Raw genomic sequence first — 12,549 nt, forward strand, 5'->3', positions numbered from 1 at the left:
GCCCGAAGGCCCTGGGGAGCTGCTGAGCTGTGACCTGGCTGGAAGCTGGGAGGGTGATGTCCCTGGAAGGAAGACACTGGCATGCCGCAGCCAGGTGCAGGCAGCCAAAGGACAAACCCGCGTGTGAGTCTTCACGCCCAGAGACTGGAGGTGGAAAGGTGGGTGCCAGGGGCTGGGGCAGGGGTGTGAGTGTTCCATGAGGACAGAGCTTCAGTGGGGAAGATGGAGACTTCTGTGGATGGAGGGAGGTGACAGCCGCAGCGTCAGGTGAATGTGCTCAGGGCCACTGAACTGTGTGCTTAAAAATGGTAAGATGGTGAATTATGCGTATTTTACCACAATAAAAAGAAAGAAAAAAGAAAAAAAAAAAGGATATCAAAAGCGACAGGGAGCCCAGGCAGAGGGTGGGTAAAGTGAGGAGGGCTGGAAGGTGACAGTGAGAGCCGTTTTCATCCAAACTCCCAATTCCAGCATCGCTGGGCAGCTTCTGTTTGAAGAGAATGGAAATAAACGCTCTGCCAGGAGAGCAGGTCTACACAGGACAAGCTCTGGGACAGACGCAGGACAGGGATGCATCCGGAGGGGCATCCCCACACCTGCCTTTGGGGCCTCCCAGACTGCGAGGGCGACGGGGTCCAGACTGGGCACTCACAGTGGACCAAGCAGGGCCACCACTGACGGACCCCTGAGCCGTGGGCGGAATGACAGGCCGTTCCCAGAGCTTCTAAGGCCGTGGAGCTCTCACCGGAAACACCCTCCCATCCCGCTCAGGCATCTGGGGCTCTCGAGACCACTCACCACCAGGCTGGGAACAAGGGGCGTGCCAGACTCTCCTCCTCACTGTCACTCCTGTCGGCCAATCTTGCTGTCATTACCTGTTTTGTTTGTTTGTTTGTTTGTTTTTGTTTTTTTCAGACAGAGTTTCGCTCTTGTTGCCCAGGCTGGAATACAGTGACATGATCTCAGCTCACTACAACCTCTGCCTTCCAGGTTCAAGTGATTCTCCTGCCTCAACCTCCTGAGTAGCTGAGATTACAGGCATGTGCCACCACGCCCAGCTAATTTTTGTATTTTTAGTAGAGATGGCGTTTCACCACATTGGCCAGGCTGGTCTCGAACTCCTGACCTCAGGTGATCCACCCACCTCGGCCTCCCAAAGTGCTGGGATTACAGGCATGAGCCACTGCGCCCGGCCCCGTTACCATTTTTTAAATGTAATTTTTTTAGTAGATATGACATTTCCATGATTAGAGATCAAACCACATCCTGGCTGTGATTAGGAATGTATCTTTTCATTCCCTTTTTATTTTTTTTTTTGTAATTGTGGCAAAAGACACACAACAAAATTTATCATCTTCACCATTTTCAAGTGCACGATTCCGTGTCAGTGAGCACCTTCACAGTCCTGCAGCCACCACCCTCCATCTCCAGAACTCGCTATCTTCCTAAACTGAAGCTCTGTCCCCATGAAACACTCACCCCCGTCCCCTCCCAGCCCCGGGACCCTCCATTCGACTTTCTGTCTCTGTGGCTCTGAGGGCCCTGAGCAGAATCACAGGGTCTGTCCTTATTCATCCTGCCTCTCTTGCATTCAGGCTGGAAGCATGCCATGCCTCTGCGGTCAGGTAACTGAGGCCTGGAGCTCCTTCCACAGCAGAGCACAGACGTCCTCACCCACCTGCACAGCTGCGTGGCTCTCCCTGGGGGGATGGACAGGGAGGCTGTGGCGTCCCTGCTTGGCTGTTCAGGTACCTGCAGTGTCAACGCCTTTCCAACTGTGATCTGTCCCCTCCCCGCATCACACCCCACAGCGCTGGCCCAATCCTTCCAGATGTTTCCACAGGTCCTCCTGCAGTTGCCTCCCACTCAGAGGGAACCTTCTCAAAGGCAAGCCTGACCCACAGGCAGGAGTCCGAGCTCCTTTCTGAGCATCTGGAGACTCTAGCTTGGCCCAGTCATGGCTGAGGCCACCCTGTCCCGAGGACACCAGGCTGTCCGTGGCCAGGGACCACACCCCCGACGCCCCTGAACCTTTGCCCACGTGGCCCCCTGCACCCCCTTCTTGGCAGTCTCGCATACCTTTGCGAACTTTTCCTTTCATGTCCTTCAAAATTCAGCTCAAGGCCTCCTCTTCCAGGAAGCCTTGCTGATTGTGGGCCGGACTCACCCCAGTGCCTGTCCCACAACCGGCCCCAGGGAGGGAGGGGCTGTCTGTTTGCACACCTGTCACCCGCTGCGTCACGTGCTCTCTTCAGGCAGGGCTGACCTGGTTGGAATGAGAGAAACGCTCTCCAGGCATCTCTGACAAAAGGTTCTTGGCAACCGTGCTGTCTTGGTTGTCCTGGGGCAGGTCCTTGCCTCTGATTGCTCTGTCCTCTGTCCTGGCAGCAGTCCTGGACACCAAGGCCAGGCTGGACCTACCTCTAGGAGTGCTCTAGTAGGGAATGGGGCAGGTGGGGGTCTACGAGGAGGCCAAACAGGGATCAGGAGGGCGGAGGGCGGAGGGCGGGCCCGGGAGAGAGCTCTCCCTGCAACCTGGGGTGTGGGCCAGGGGCCTGTGTGAGAGCAAACCTCGGGCAGGGCTAGTGGCCTTCTAGGCAGGGGTTTGGGAAGCGCCACACTTGGGTGCGGGGGGGGGGGGAGGGGAGCATGGGGGTGGTGCCGGGATGTGGCACCGAGACCATGGGTATGAAGTGCTGGGTCTCAGAGGTGAATGCGGGTGGCCCAGACAGGCTGCAGGGTAGACTGAGCCCTCAGGGAGGCAGCAGTTAGTGCTGCCGGCAAAGTTGGTGGTTGCAAGAGCAAGGACGGGGCATGTCGGGGGTGCCCCACACTGCACGAAGCCCCCCGGGCCGCTGGTCCTGCTGGCGCCATTGTCTCCCTCTAGGTGGGAGTCCCACAGCCCTGGGACTGGCTCATGGTGTCCTCTTCTGGGGGCATTTGGGCTGCAGCTTGGACACAGCCTGATCATCTTCCCCCCAGCAGGCCCACCCTGCCACCTGCATACCCAGCATCCGACTCAGCAACTGGGCAGGAAAAGATACTGAAAGAGCGTTTGTCTTCGGCATCTTCCCAGGCACAGAGTGGGGTGGGCAGGCCAGCTATGGCCTCCCATGTTCTGGGGTTTCTGGAAAGATCATTCCATTAGGTCTGCGGGGCAGGACGGACAAGTTCAGACGGGAGATGGTCCCATAAAAGCATGGCCCGTGTGAGCACAGTGAACACTGATTCCAGACACCCTCAACCTCATCACCAGGCACTGACCCCTCAGATCACGGCGCCCCGTGTCCTGGAAGCCATTGCTAGAGCGCAGCTCTCCTCTGTGCAGTGTGCGTGTGGGGAGTGGTGACCGTGTCTCTGATGGGCACAAGCTGAACACAACCCAGGCAGGTGCCCTGTCATCATGGGAGGGGCAGCGGGGGCACACCCTGCCGTCCTAAAACCCAGCCCTCTAAAGTGTCAGTTCTCATCGGTGGCTGGGTCTCCTGCCTCCCTGGGTGACACTGGGGACCAAATAACCCCTTCCCTTCCGTGGCCTCCTACCCATGCCCCCGGGAGGACCCAGGCGCAGGGCTAGGGTCTGTGTTTTGGGGAGCGCACGGCTAAGCCCTCCTGCGCACTCCGGACACTCAGGCCTCAGGTAGGGAGTGGGCAAGTGGCCAGTGCTGCCCCTTCCGGGTGGGCTGTCCCAGTCAGGCCCCTCGTCCCAGCCTTCTCCCTGTTTGAGGGGTGAGGCCGGTTGGATGCCTGCAGGGCCACCTCGGCCTCTATGCGCGACCCCCGGAGACTGAGACGGTAAGAGAGCTCCCCTTCCCACTGCGCCCCCGCGTCCCTGCAGCCAGGGGTGCGCGCCCCGCCGCCCAGTCCTGGGATGGAGCTGGGAAACGCCCGCTGCGGGGTGCCTGGGACCCCCGAAGGCGTCGGGAGTTGGGGGCAAACGGCCGCCGCCGGCCCGCGTCAGGCGCCCGGCCTCGCTGGGGCCGCGGCTCGGCTGGGTCCCCCCACTCCGGGTCCGGCTGAATCTCCATCCTCCCTGTGCGGCTCCTGCACCCCGGCGAACCTGGCTCTCTCTGTGCCTCAGTTTACTCCTGAGGTCCGCTGAGCAGGAAGTGCAGCCCTGGCTCCGGGACCTCAGCCCGAGGCCGGCGCTGCTGCGGAGCACAGGCCTCCTGAGGCCGCCCCACGCGCAGGGGCGCTGCAGAGCGCGGAGCCCGGGAGCTCGCACCGCCTGTTCGTGGGGTCCCTGGGGTGCAGGGGTGGAGGACATAGGAGTGTGGGGGTCGTGGGCAGACCCAGGCGGGACGCTGTGCCAGTGCCGCCCCGAAGGCCCAGTGCGCAGGGTCCCCCGCGCCCCAGAGCCTGCCCCGCCCCTACGCCGGTACCCCCTCCAACCCCGGCCTGCCCCCCCAGCCTACTCCCCCCACCCCCGCTCCTGCCCCCACCCCTGCCCCTAAGCTTGCCCCGCCCCCGAGCCCGCCCCCAACTCCCGCCCAGCTCCTGCAGCCGCCCCGCCCCGCAACCCCGAGCCTGCCCCGCCCCGCCCCGCAACCCCGAGCCTGTCCCGTCCCCGCACCGCATACTCCACCAACCCCGGCCTGCCCCGCCCCGCCCCGCAGCCGCGCAGTCCCCGCGCTGGCTCCGAGCTGGTCTGGGGAGCTGCAGCGCTCGCCAGCGCCAGGGGGCGGCCTTGTCCTTCCCGCGGCTCCCGGACCCCCGCGTGCTGGGTCGGGGAGACCGCCCGGCAGCACCGCCCCCAGCCCCGCGCCCGGACTCCTGTGCCCCTTCCCTTCCTCCTGAGACGGGAAGAGCGGCCCCGCGGCCTGGGCGCGGGCTTTTCTTGCAGGAGCACAGGCGGGGGGTGGGGGACCCAGGCCAGGGCGCGTGCGTGCTCGGCGCCCACTCCAGACGGTCACCCAGCAATCACCAGCGGTGGGGCGGGGAGAGACAGAGATAGAGAGAGATAGAGAGGGAGAGAGAGAGAGGGAGAGAGGGAGAGAGAGAGGGAAAGAGAGAGAGAGATGGGGGAAGAGAGGCAGAGACAGAAAGGGAGACAAGAGCGTACGAGGCATGGGTTGGTGCGAAGCCCGGGTGTGCACCGGGGCTCAGGTGAGCCAGGCTGGCACCGGACGCCTCCCGTGGAGACAGCGCGGGGTCCCGGTTCCACCAGGATGTTCCACAGTCTCCTTCGGGGCTGGCAGCGAGGCCGAGGGGAGGAAGTGATTTGTCTCCGCGCTGACAGGCTGCGGGGCACAGACCGAGCCCTCGGGGAGGCAGCCGTTAGTGCTGCTTGTAAGATCAGTCAGTGGTCGCAAGAGAAAGGGCTTGACCTTTCAAGGGTGCCCCACACTGCACAAAGACCCCCTGGCCGCTGGTCCCGGCTGGTGCCATTGTCTCCCTCTAGGTGGTCTGGGCTGCTGAGGGTAGGTGTAGACAGGAGTCCCACAGCCCCGGGACTGGCTCACCCCGTCCTCTTCCCGGGAGCGTTAGGGCTGCAGCTTGGACACGGCCTGGTCATCTCCCCAACCTTCCCCCCGGCAGGCAGTTCCTCCACTACCCACCCGTGTCCCCAGCCTTCCCACTCAGCAACTCGAGCATAAGACAGACACCTGTTGGGTAAATGGCTCTTCCAGACAGAGACAGCTTCAGACAGGAGGCAGGTTGGCAGGCCAGCAATGGCTGACGATGCTCCGGGGTTTCTGGAAATAGTTCTGTGAGCTCTAGGAGACAGGGAGGGACAGTTCAGAAAGGAGTTGGTCCCGTAAAAGCATTTGCGTGATAATGGGCCAGGCGTGGCTCACATCCATAATGCCAGCCCTTTGGGAAGCCAAGGCATGAGGATTACTTGAGGGCAGGAGTTTGAGACCAGCCTGGGCAACATGGTGAGACCCCTGTCTCTACAAAAAGATTTTCTTTAAAAAAATTAGCCAGGCATGGTGGTGTGCACTTGTAGTCCTAGCTTCTTGGGAGGCTGAGGCAGGAGGCTCACTGAAGCCCAGGAGGTGGAGGCTGCAGCAAGCCATGATCAGGCCACTGCACCATGGCACTCCGGAGTGACAGAGTGAGACTTTGTCTCAAAAAAAGAAAAAAGAAGAGAAAAACTAAATATAGACTTTTTTTTTTTTGAGTTGGAGTCTGGCTCTGTCACCCAGGCTGGAGTGCAATGGCGTGATCTCAGCTCACTGCAACCTCTTCCTCCCAGGTTCAAGCCATTCTCCTGCCTCAGCCTCCCAAGTAGCTGGGACTACAGGCGTGAGCCACCACGCCTGGCTAGTTTTTGTATTTTTAGTAGAGACGGGTTTTCACCATGTTGGCCAGGCTGGTCTCGAACTCCTGACCTCAAGTGATCCACCCACTTTGGCCTCCCAAAGTTCTGGGATTACAGGCGTGAGCCACCGCGCCCAGCCTAGACTTTATTGTTTAGAGCAGTTTTAGGTTCACAGCAAAATCATCATTCCTCAGAGTCCACAGCGTACATTAGGGGTCCCTCTTGGAGGTGTGCATGGCGTGGCTTTGGACAGGTGCATAAAGACAGCACCCACCCTCACAGCGCTCTGTACAATAGTTTCCCTGCCCTAAGGGTCCCCGGTGCTTGCCTCATGCCTCCCTCACCCCTGCCCCGGGGTTTCACTGATTCTATTGGATTCTTTCTTGGGATTCTGGCCAGGCAGGGGCAGGGGTTCACATTGCTCAGACAGGAGACAGGCTCCTGGGGCAGGGGCACTCACCCTCAGGACGGGCTGAGGCCTGAATCGAGGCCAGGGCCACCCACCTGGAAGCGTGGCTTAGCCCCATCCTGTGGGCAGCTGGTCGGGCAGCTGCCGTGGCCCTTGCTGGCTACTGTCACATGCTGCCCTGGCCCTTGCTGGCTACTGTCACATGCTGCCATGGCCCCTGCACGCCCCTTGGCACAATCGTGGCCGTGGGGAGCTGTTCTGTTGTGGAACGTGAAGGTCATGGAGACCCACAGTGGCACAGGCAGCATGTGACCAGCTCTCAGTCAAGTGCTAAGGGAATGTCCAGCAGGGCTCTCACCCCGTGCGGAGGGACAGCCCTGAGGTGGCCCCAGCATTTCCTGCCGTTGGCCGGGGAGGCAGGGTCAGCTGCTTGAGTGTCTGGAGGCTGCTCCCCTGCCCAGCCCGCCTGCTGTGTGCCCACAAGCTTGGTGGCCAGGAGACATTTGTCAAAGGAATGCCTGATTGCATGAATGAACAGATGCCTTCTCCCATGAATTGCCTTGGTGCCTACAAAGGCAGGACCAGAGGCTCCCGCCTGGCTGTCAGAACTACAGGGCGATAGGGTGGCCTGCTGTGCCCACCCCCACAACCTCCCAGTGGCCATTTATCTGCAGAGCTGGTCCCCACAGGGATCAGAGCTTGGCAGGGGCTCCGATTTGCCCAGTCTTGAGGACTTGGCCATCACATACCAGGCTCCAGGTAAGGGCAGCCAGTCTATTGTCCCTGGAGTGACGCTTGTGGTGGAAGCCACAAGTGTCCCTCACTCCAGATGCCCGGGATGCGCCGGACACAGGCCGCAGGGGGCACGGGCGTCGAATTAACATTGCAGGAGGGTCCCGCGACTGTTGATATCAGCACTTCGGGGTTATTTATGAATTCATCTATTTCCTGGGACAAGCCATTCTGCATTTGGTTACCATGGTAGCTTTAAACCCGGTATCTTATTAATTCTGCATGTTATGAAATAAATATAGATCAGACAATTGCAGTGATGGTTCTATCTTTTTATTATGCATTTGGTTCTTGGTGCCGGGGATGGGATGCTCCCAACACACCACCGTCAACACACATCCATCAGCCTCGGGGGCCTGGGCGGGCTGCAGGGGCGCACTCCTGCGCCTGAGAATGGAGTGGGGCTGAGGAGGGGACACGAGGCTGTCTCAGGGAAAGGGTGAAGCTTGAAGACCCCCCAGGGCACCGGCAGCTCCTGAAGGAATTCCTACAGCCCGGCAGGGATGGACGCACCGGGGAAGGAGGCCGGTGTCCTGGGGTGCTTCGGCTGGAATTGCAGGGCCAGTGGGTTGGAATGGCTCCCACCTGCGGACTGGGACCTCGTGGCGCTGCCGAGTGGAGGTGCCTGGGGCAGGGGCCACTCAGCCGCCCCTGGCACTGCCTGAGCAGAAGAGGAGACTCCATCGGAACCAGCACTCAGCAGCATGAGCAGAAGAGGAGACTCCATGGGAAGCAGCAGGCATCGCGGTCCCTGATGTTCTTGAGGTTTCAGGCTGGCAGGAGGAGTCCAGTTAGAGAGGGCCCAGAGGTGGAGAGGGGGCCTGCCGGGATCTCTTTTGGGCACCTTGGCTTTCGCTTAGTTTCGTGGGCCATTGTGGGGACTCAATGAGCACTTTACGTGCCCCGGATAAAGCTGAATCCCCCAGCGGGCTGGGAAGCGGGGCTGTTTCCACCTCCACTTTGCAGAGCCCAGAGACACGAAGTCACAAACTCACCGGCTCATGGCGAGCAGGACTTGAACCCAGGGCTGTTTACTGCGGGGCCTGGCCCTCCCTAGGCTCTGAAGCAGAGTCCCCTGTGCATTCCTGATCTCTTCGCCCCCAGAAAAGCATCCCCACGTCTATCTGTGCTTGCCCACTGCAGACCAGGCAGGGGCCGTGTGGCCAGGTGTCACCTCTGTAGCAGTCAGCACCCAGGGCTGGCAGCAGGCAGTCTGAGGACCAGTGAGGGCAGGGCGCTGTGTCTGGCAGAGTGGCTGCTTGGGAGAGACATTTTCTCCCGGAGTCTCCCCTGCCCAGGGTCATGGTTCTGGCACAGATGGCTCTAGGGAAACAATGACAGCCTTTGGCTGGGTCAGGCCTTTGCTTCCTCTGACCACTAATGGCCCTGGGCTGAAGGCCAAGAATGCACCAGGAACCGGGACGGGCAGGGCCAGGTGAGCAGGGAAGAGGGAAGGGTCCCAGTAAGGGAACTGGGTGCAGGGTGCCCAGCTGGGGCTTTGCAAGCAGCCATCAGGCAGAGACCTGGGGCAGAGGAGACTCCTGGAAACATGCACCCTGCAAGCAGAGGAGGTGGCGTGGGCCTGGCTGCGGCGCTCGCAGGTACCCCCTCAGCGTGTCATTGGCTCAGGGGCCCCACCCCCTTCTGTCAAAGGACTGGGAGGTCACCAGGGTCTGTCCAGCTGCAAGTCCCCGATTCTCTGCAGAGTCTTGTTCTTTGGGGCAGGCTGGGACCCCGGCTGCCTGTCACCCTGCCACGGCTCCACAGCGGCCCATCGATCCCCCCATCCCCTGCCAGCGGCCACGCCAGCGTGGGCCACTCAGACGTTCCCAGCCCCCAGGGCCCGATCAGGGCATCGACAGAACGGCACGCTCGCCATTTAATTAAGCTTAGTTTAATTAAAAACCTGGAGTTCTTTATTAGACTTGGTAATTGATTTAATTTTCTGTGGAATTCAAGTGCCAAACACCTCTTTTGTGTGAGCTTGTGAATTTTGGCAGGTGGAGTCGGACAGCCAAAAAGGAAAATCCCTCCTCCGCTGGGTGAGGTTTGTCTCACAGCAGCACGGGCAGAATCCTCTGCTGACCCACCCTCCTCTCCCCTCGCTTCCCCTCCTCTCCCCTCCCTCCCCCTCCCTCCCCCTCCCTTCCCCTTCCCTCCTCTCCCCTCCCCAAAACCTCCCTTCCCTAGGCCAAGGGTTTTTCGCCATGGGGAAAGGCCGCCCTTGCTACTGGGTGGGGTTTCTGGAAATCCCACAGTGGCTCGGGTCTCTGCTGGTCCCCGGGCTGGCGGTGGAGAGGGGTTTCCTTAGGTGATCCCAGGGGGCCTCTGGATGGGGAGGAGGATGTGGGGTGCAGGGAATCCATTTTGTGGGTTATTTTTGGAAAGTTTGGTCCTTCCTGGACAGTTTCAGCCCTGCCTTGCTCCTGAGGGAGCTGTAGTCCTGATGGCAGGTGGTCTCACCCAGTGGTGCCTCACATGTCCCCAGCCAGGTCCCTAGAGTACAGAGCACCACGCGGTGGCTGCACTGGAGCTTGATGGCTCCCGGGAAGGAGCGGGACACAAGAAAGGCAGTGGGGTGTTTGCACACAGGAAACCCTTCACTCACCTGTCTCCCAGGAACGCCAGCGCCCTCTGCAGGACATGTGAGCCTCCAAGTCACCTCGAGATTAAAGCCCCCCAAGCATCTGGAACAGCAGCTCCGGCGACAGCCCTTCATTACTGAAAGCCTCAGAAGGACACAAGCCCTCCTGTCCAGTATGCAGTGGTGACCTTTGACTCTTGGCTGCTCCCAGGGCGGGAGAATACCTTCTGTAGAAGGAAATTTCTCTTTCCTAATTGGAATAGATCATAAAAGCAGGGATTTTTTTAATTATTTATTATTTATTTTTTTTTTGAGATGGAGTTTCGCTCTTGTTGCCCAGGCTGGAGTGCAATGGCACGATCTTGGCTCACTGCAACCTCCACCTCCCAGGTCCAAGCAATTCTCCTGCCTCAGCCCCCTGAGTAGCTGGGATTACAGGCACCCGCCATCATGCCTGGCTAATTTTTGCATTTTTGTAGACACGGGGTTTCTCCATGTTGGTCAGGCTGGTCTCGAACTCCTGACCTCAGGTGATCCGCCCACCTTGGCCTCCCAAAGTGCTGGGATTACAGGCGTGAGCCACTGCACCCAGCCACAAACAGCTTTTAAAAATAGAGGCTGGTGGCGGGGCACAGGGGCTCCTGCTTGTGATCCCAGCACTTTGGGAAGACGAGGGGGGACTGATTGAAGCCTGGAGTTGGAGACCAGCCTGGGCAACATAGCGAGACTCCATCTCTACAAAAAATAATGTAAAAAAAATTAGCCAGTTGTGGTGGTGCGTGCCTGTAGTCCTAGCTACTCAGGAGGCTGAGGTGGGAGAATCATTTGAACCCAGTAGTTCAAGCCTGTGGTGAGCTGTGATCACACCACTGTACTCTAGCCTGGATGACAGAGTGAGACTCTATCTCTTACCAAAAAAAAAAAAAAAAAAAAATCAATCAATCAATCAATAGAATAGAGGTAAGGGCTGAGTGCGGTGGCTCACACCTGTAATCCCAGCACTTTGGGAGGCTGAGGCGGGTGGATCACCTGAGGTCAGGAGTTCAAGACCAGCCTGGCCAACATGGTGAAAGCCCGTCTCTACTAAAAATACAAAAATGAGCTGGGCATAGTGGTGCATGCCTGTAGTTCCAGCTACTCAGAAGGCTGAGTCAGGAGAATTGCTTGAACCTGGGAGGCAGAGGTTGCAGTGAGCTGAGATCGAGCCACTGCACTCCAGCCTGGGTGACAGAGCAAGACTTGACTAAAAATTAAAATAGAATAGAATAGAATAGAATAGAATAGAATAGAATAGAATAGAATAGAATGGAATAATGGTTGAGCTTTGCGAAAACACTCTGGTGGTTCTTCAGACTCTGAAGCACAGTTACCATGTGACCAAGCAATCCAATTCCTGGGTTCAAACCCAAAAAAATGAAAGCAGGCACCTGCAAGAACTTGCACAGGAATGTCCACAGCAGCGTTACTCACAAAAGCCAAAATGTGGAAACAGCCCCAAGGCCCATGGATGGGTGAGTGGATAAACAATAGATCTATTGAGGGAACTGTGATGTGGGCCTAAAAAAAAAAGGAATGAGTGGCGTGATCTCGGCTCACTGCAGCCTCGAACTCCTGGGCTTATGTGTCCCTCCCACCTCAGCCTCAAGTAGCTGAGACTACAGGTGCACACCACCATGCCCAGCTTATTTATTATTTATTTATTTTTTGAGACAGAGTCTCACTCTGTCACCCAGACGGGAATGCAGTGGCACGAACTCAGCTGACTGTACCCTCCGCCTCCCAGCTTCAAGTGATTCTCGTGCCTCAGCCTCCCGAGTAGCTGGGATTACAGGTGTGCACCACCAGGCCCGGCTAATTTTTGTATTTTTTAGTAGAGGCGGGGTTTAACCATGTTGGCCAGGCTGGTCTCGAACTCCTGGCCTCAAGTCATCCACCTGCCCCGACCTCCCAAAGTGCTGGAATTACAGGGTGAGCCATTGTGGCCAGCCTAATTTATTTATTTTTGTAGAGACCGGGTCTCACTGTGTTGCCCAGGCTAGTCTCAAACTCCTGGGCTCAAGCGATCCTCTGGCCTCGGCCTCCCAAAGCGTTGGCATTACAGGCATGAGCCACTGCACCCAGCCAAATGTTCGAACAGATATCTGGGAACCCAGCAGCCAAGTCAAGTTGACACATGAAATTAACCATCACTCCATCCTCACGATTCTGAACCGCACGCCTCAGTGGCATTAAGTGCATTCACGTTGCTGTGCAAACAACATCTTCCTCCATCGACACAGCTTTCCCTCTTTCCAAACTGAAGCTCTGTTCCCACCCCCTCCCCCCGCCCCTGGCGTACACGCCTCTGCTGTCTGTCTCCAGGGCCTCTCGGAGGAGGAATCAGGCAGGCCTTGCCTTTTCATGGCTGGCTGCTTTCCCTGAGCACAACATCCTCCAGGCACGTCCCCATCGTAGCTCGTGCCAGAATTTCCTGGGGTTTCTTTCTGAAGTGAAGAAAAT

At 58.6% G+C, this 12,549-nt stretch overlaps 2 annotated features.

The window, feature by feature from the left end:
* Nucleotides 4,635-4,694: a silencer, noted in NCBI's record as "silent region_20501". NCBI's record gives its function as "represses an Ori minimal core promoter by ATAC-STARR-seq in GM12878 lymphoblastoid cells {active_cell/tissue: GM12878}" and the evidence as "EXISTENCE:reporter gene assay evidence [ECO:0000049][PMID:35858748]".
* Nucleotides 6,874-7,414: an enhancer, noted in NCBI's record as "H3K4me1 hESC enhancer chr9:139027429-139027969 (GRCh37/hg19 assembly coordinates)". NCBI's record gives its function as "activates a minimal SCP1, AML or CMV promoter by ChIP-STARR-seq in naive H9 embryonic stem cells {active_cell/tissue: H9 hESC(naive)}" and the evidence as "EXISTENCE:reporter gene assay evidence [ECO:0000049][PMID:30033119]".

This window comes from Homo sapiens, chromosome 9 (genome assembly GCF_000001405.40).
Source record: "Homo sapiens chromosome 9, GRCh38.p14 Primary Assembly".
NCBI classification, from domain to species: Eukaryota; Metazoa; Chordata; class Mammalia; order Primates; family Hominidae; genus Homo; species Homo sapiens.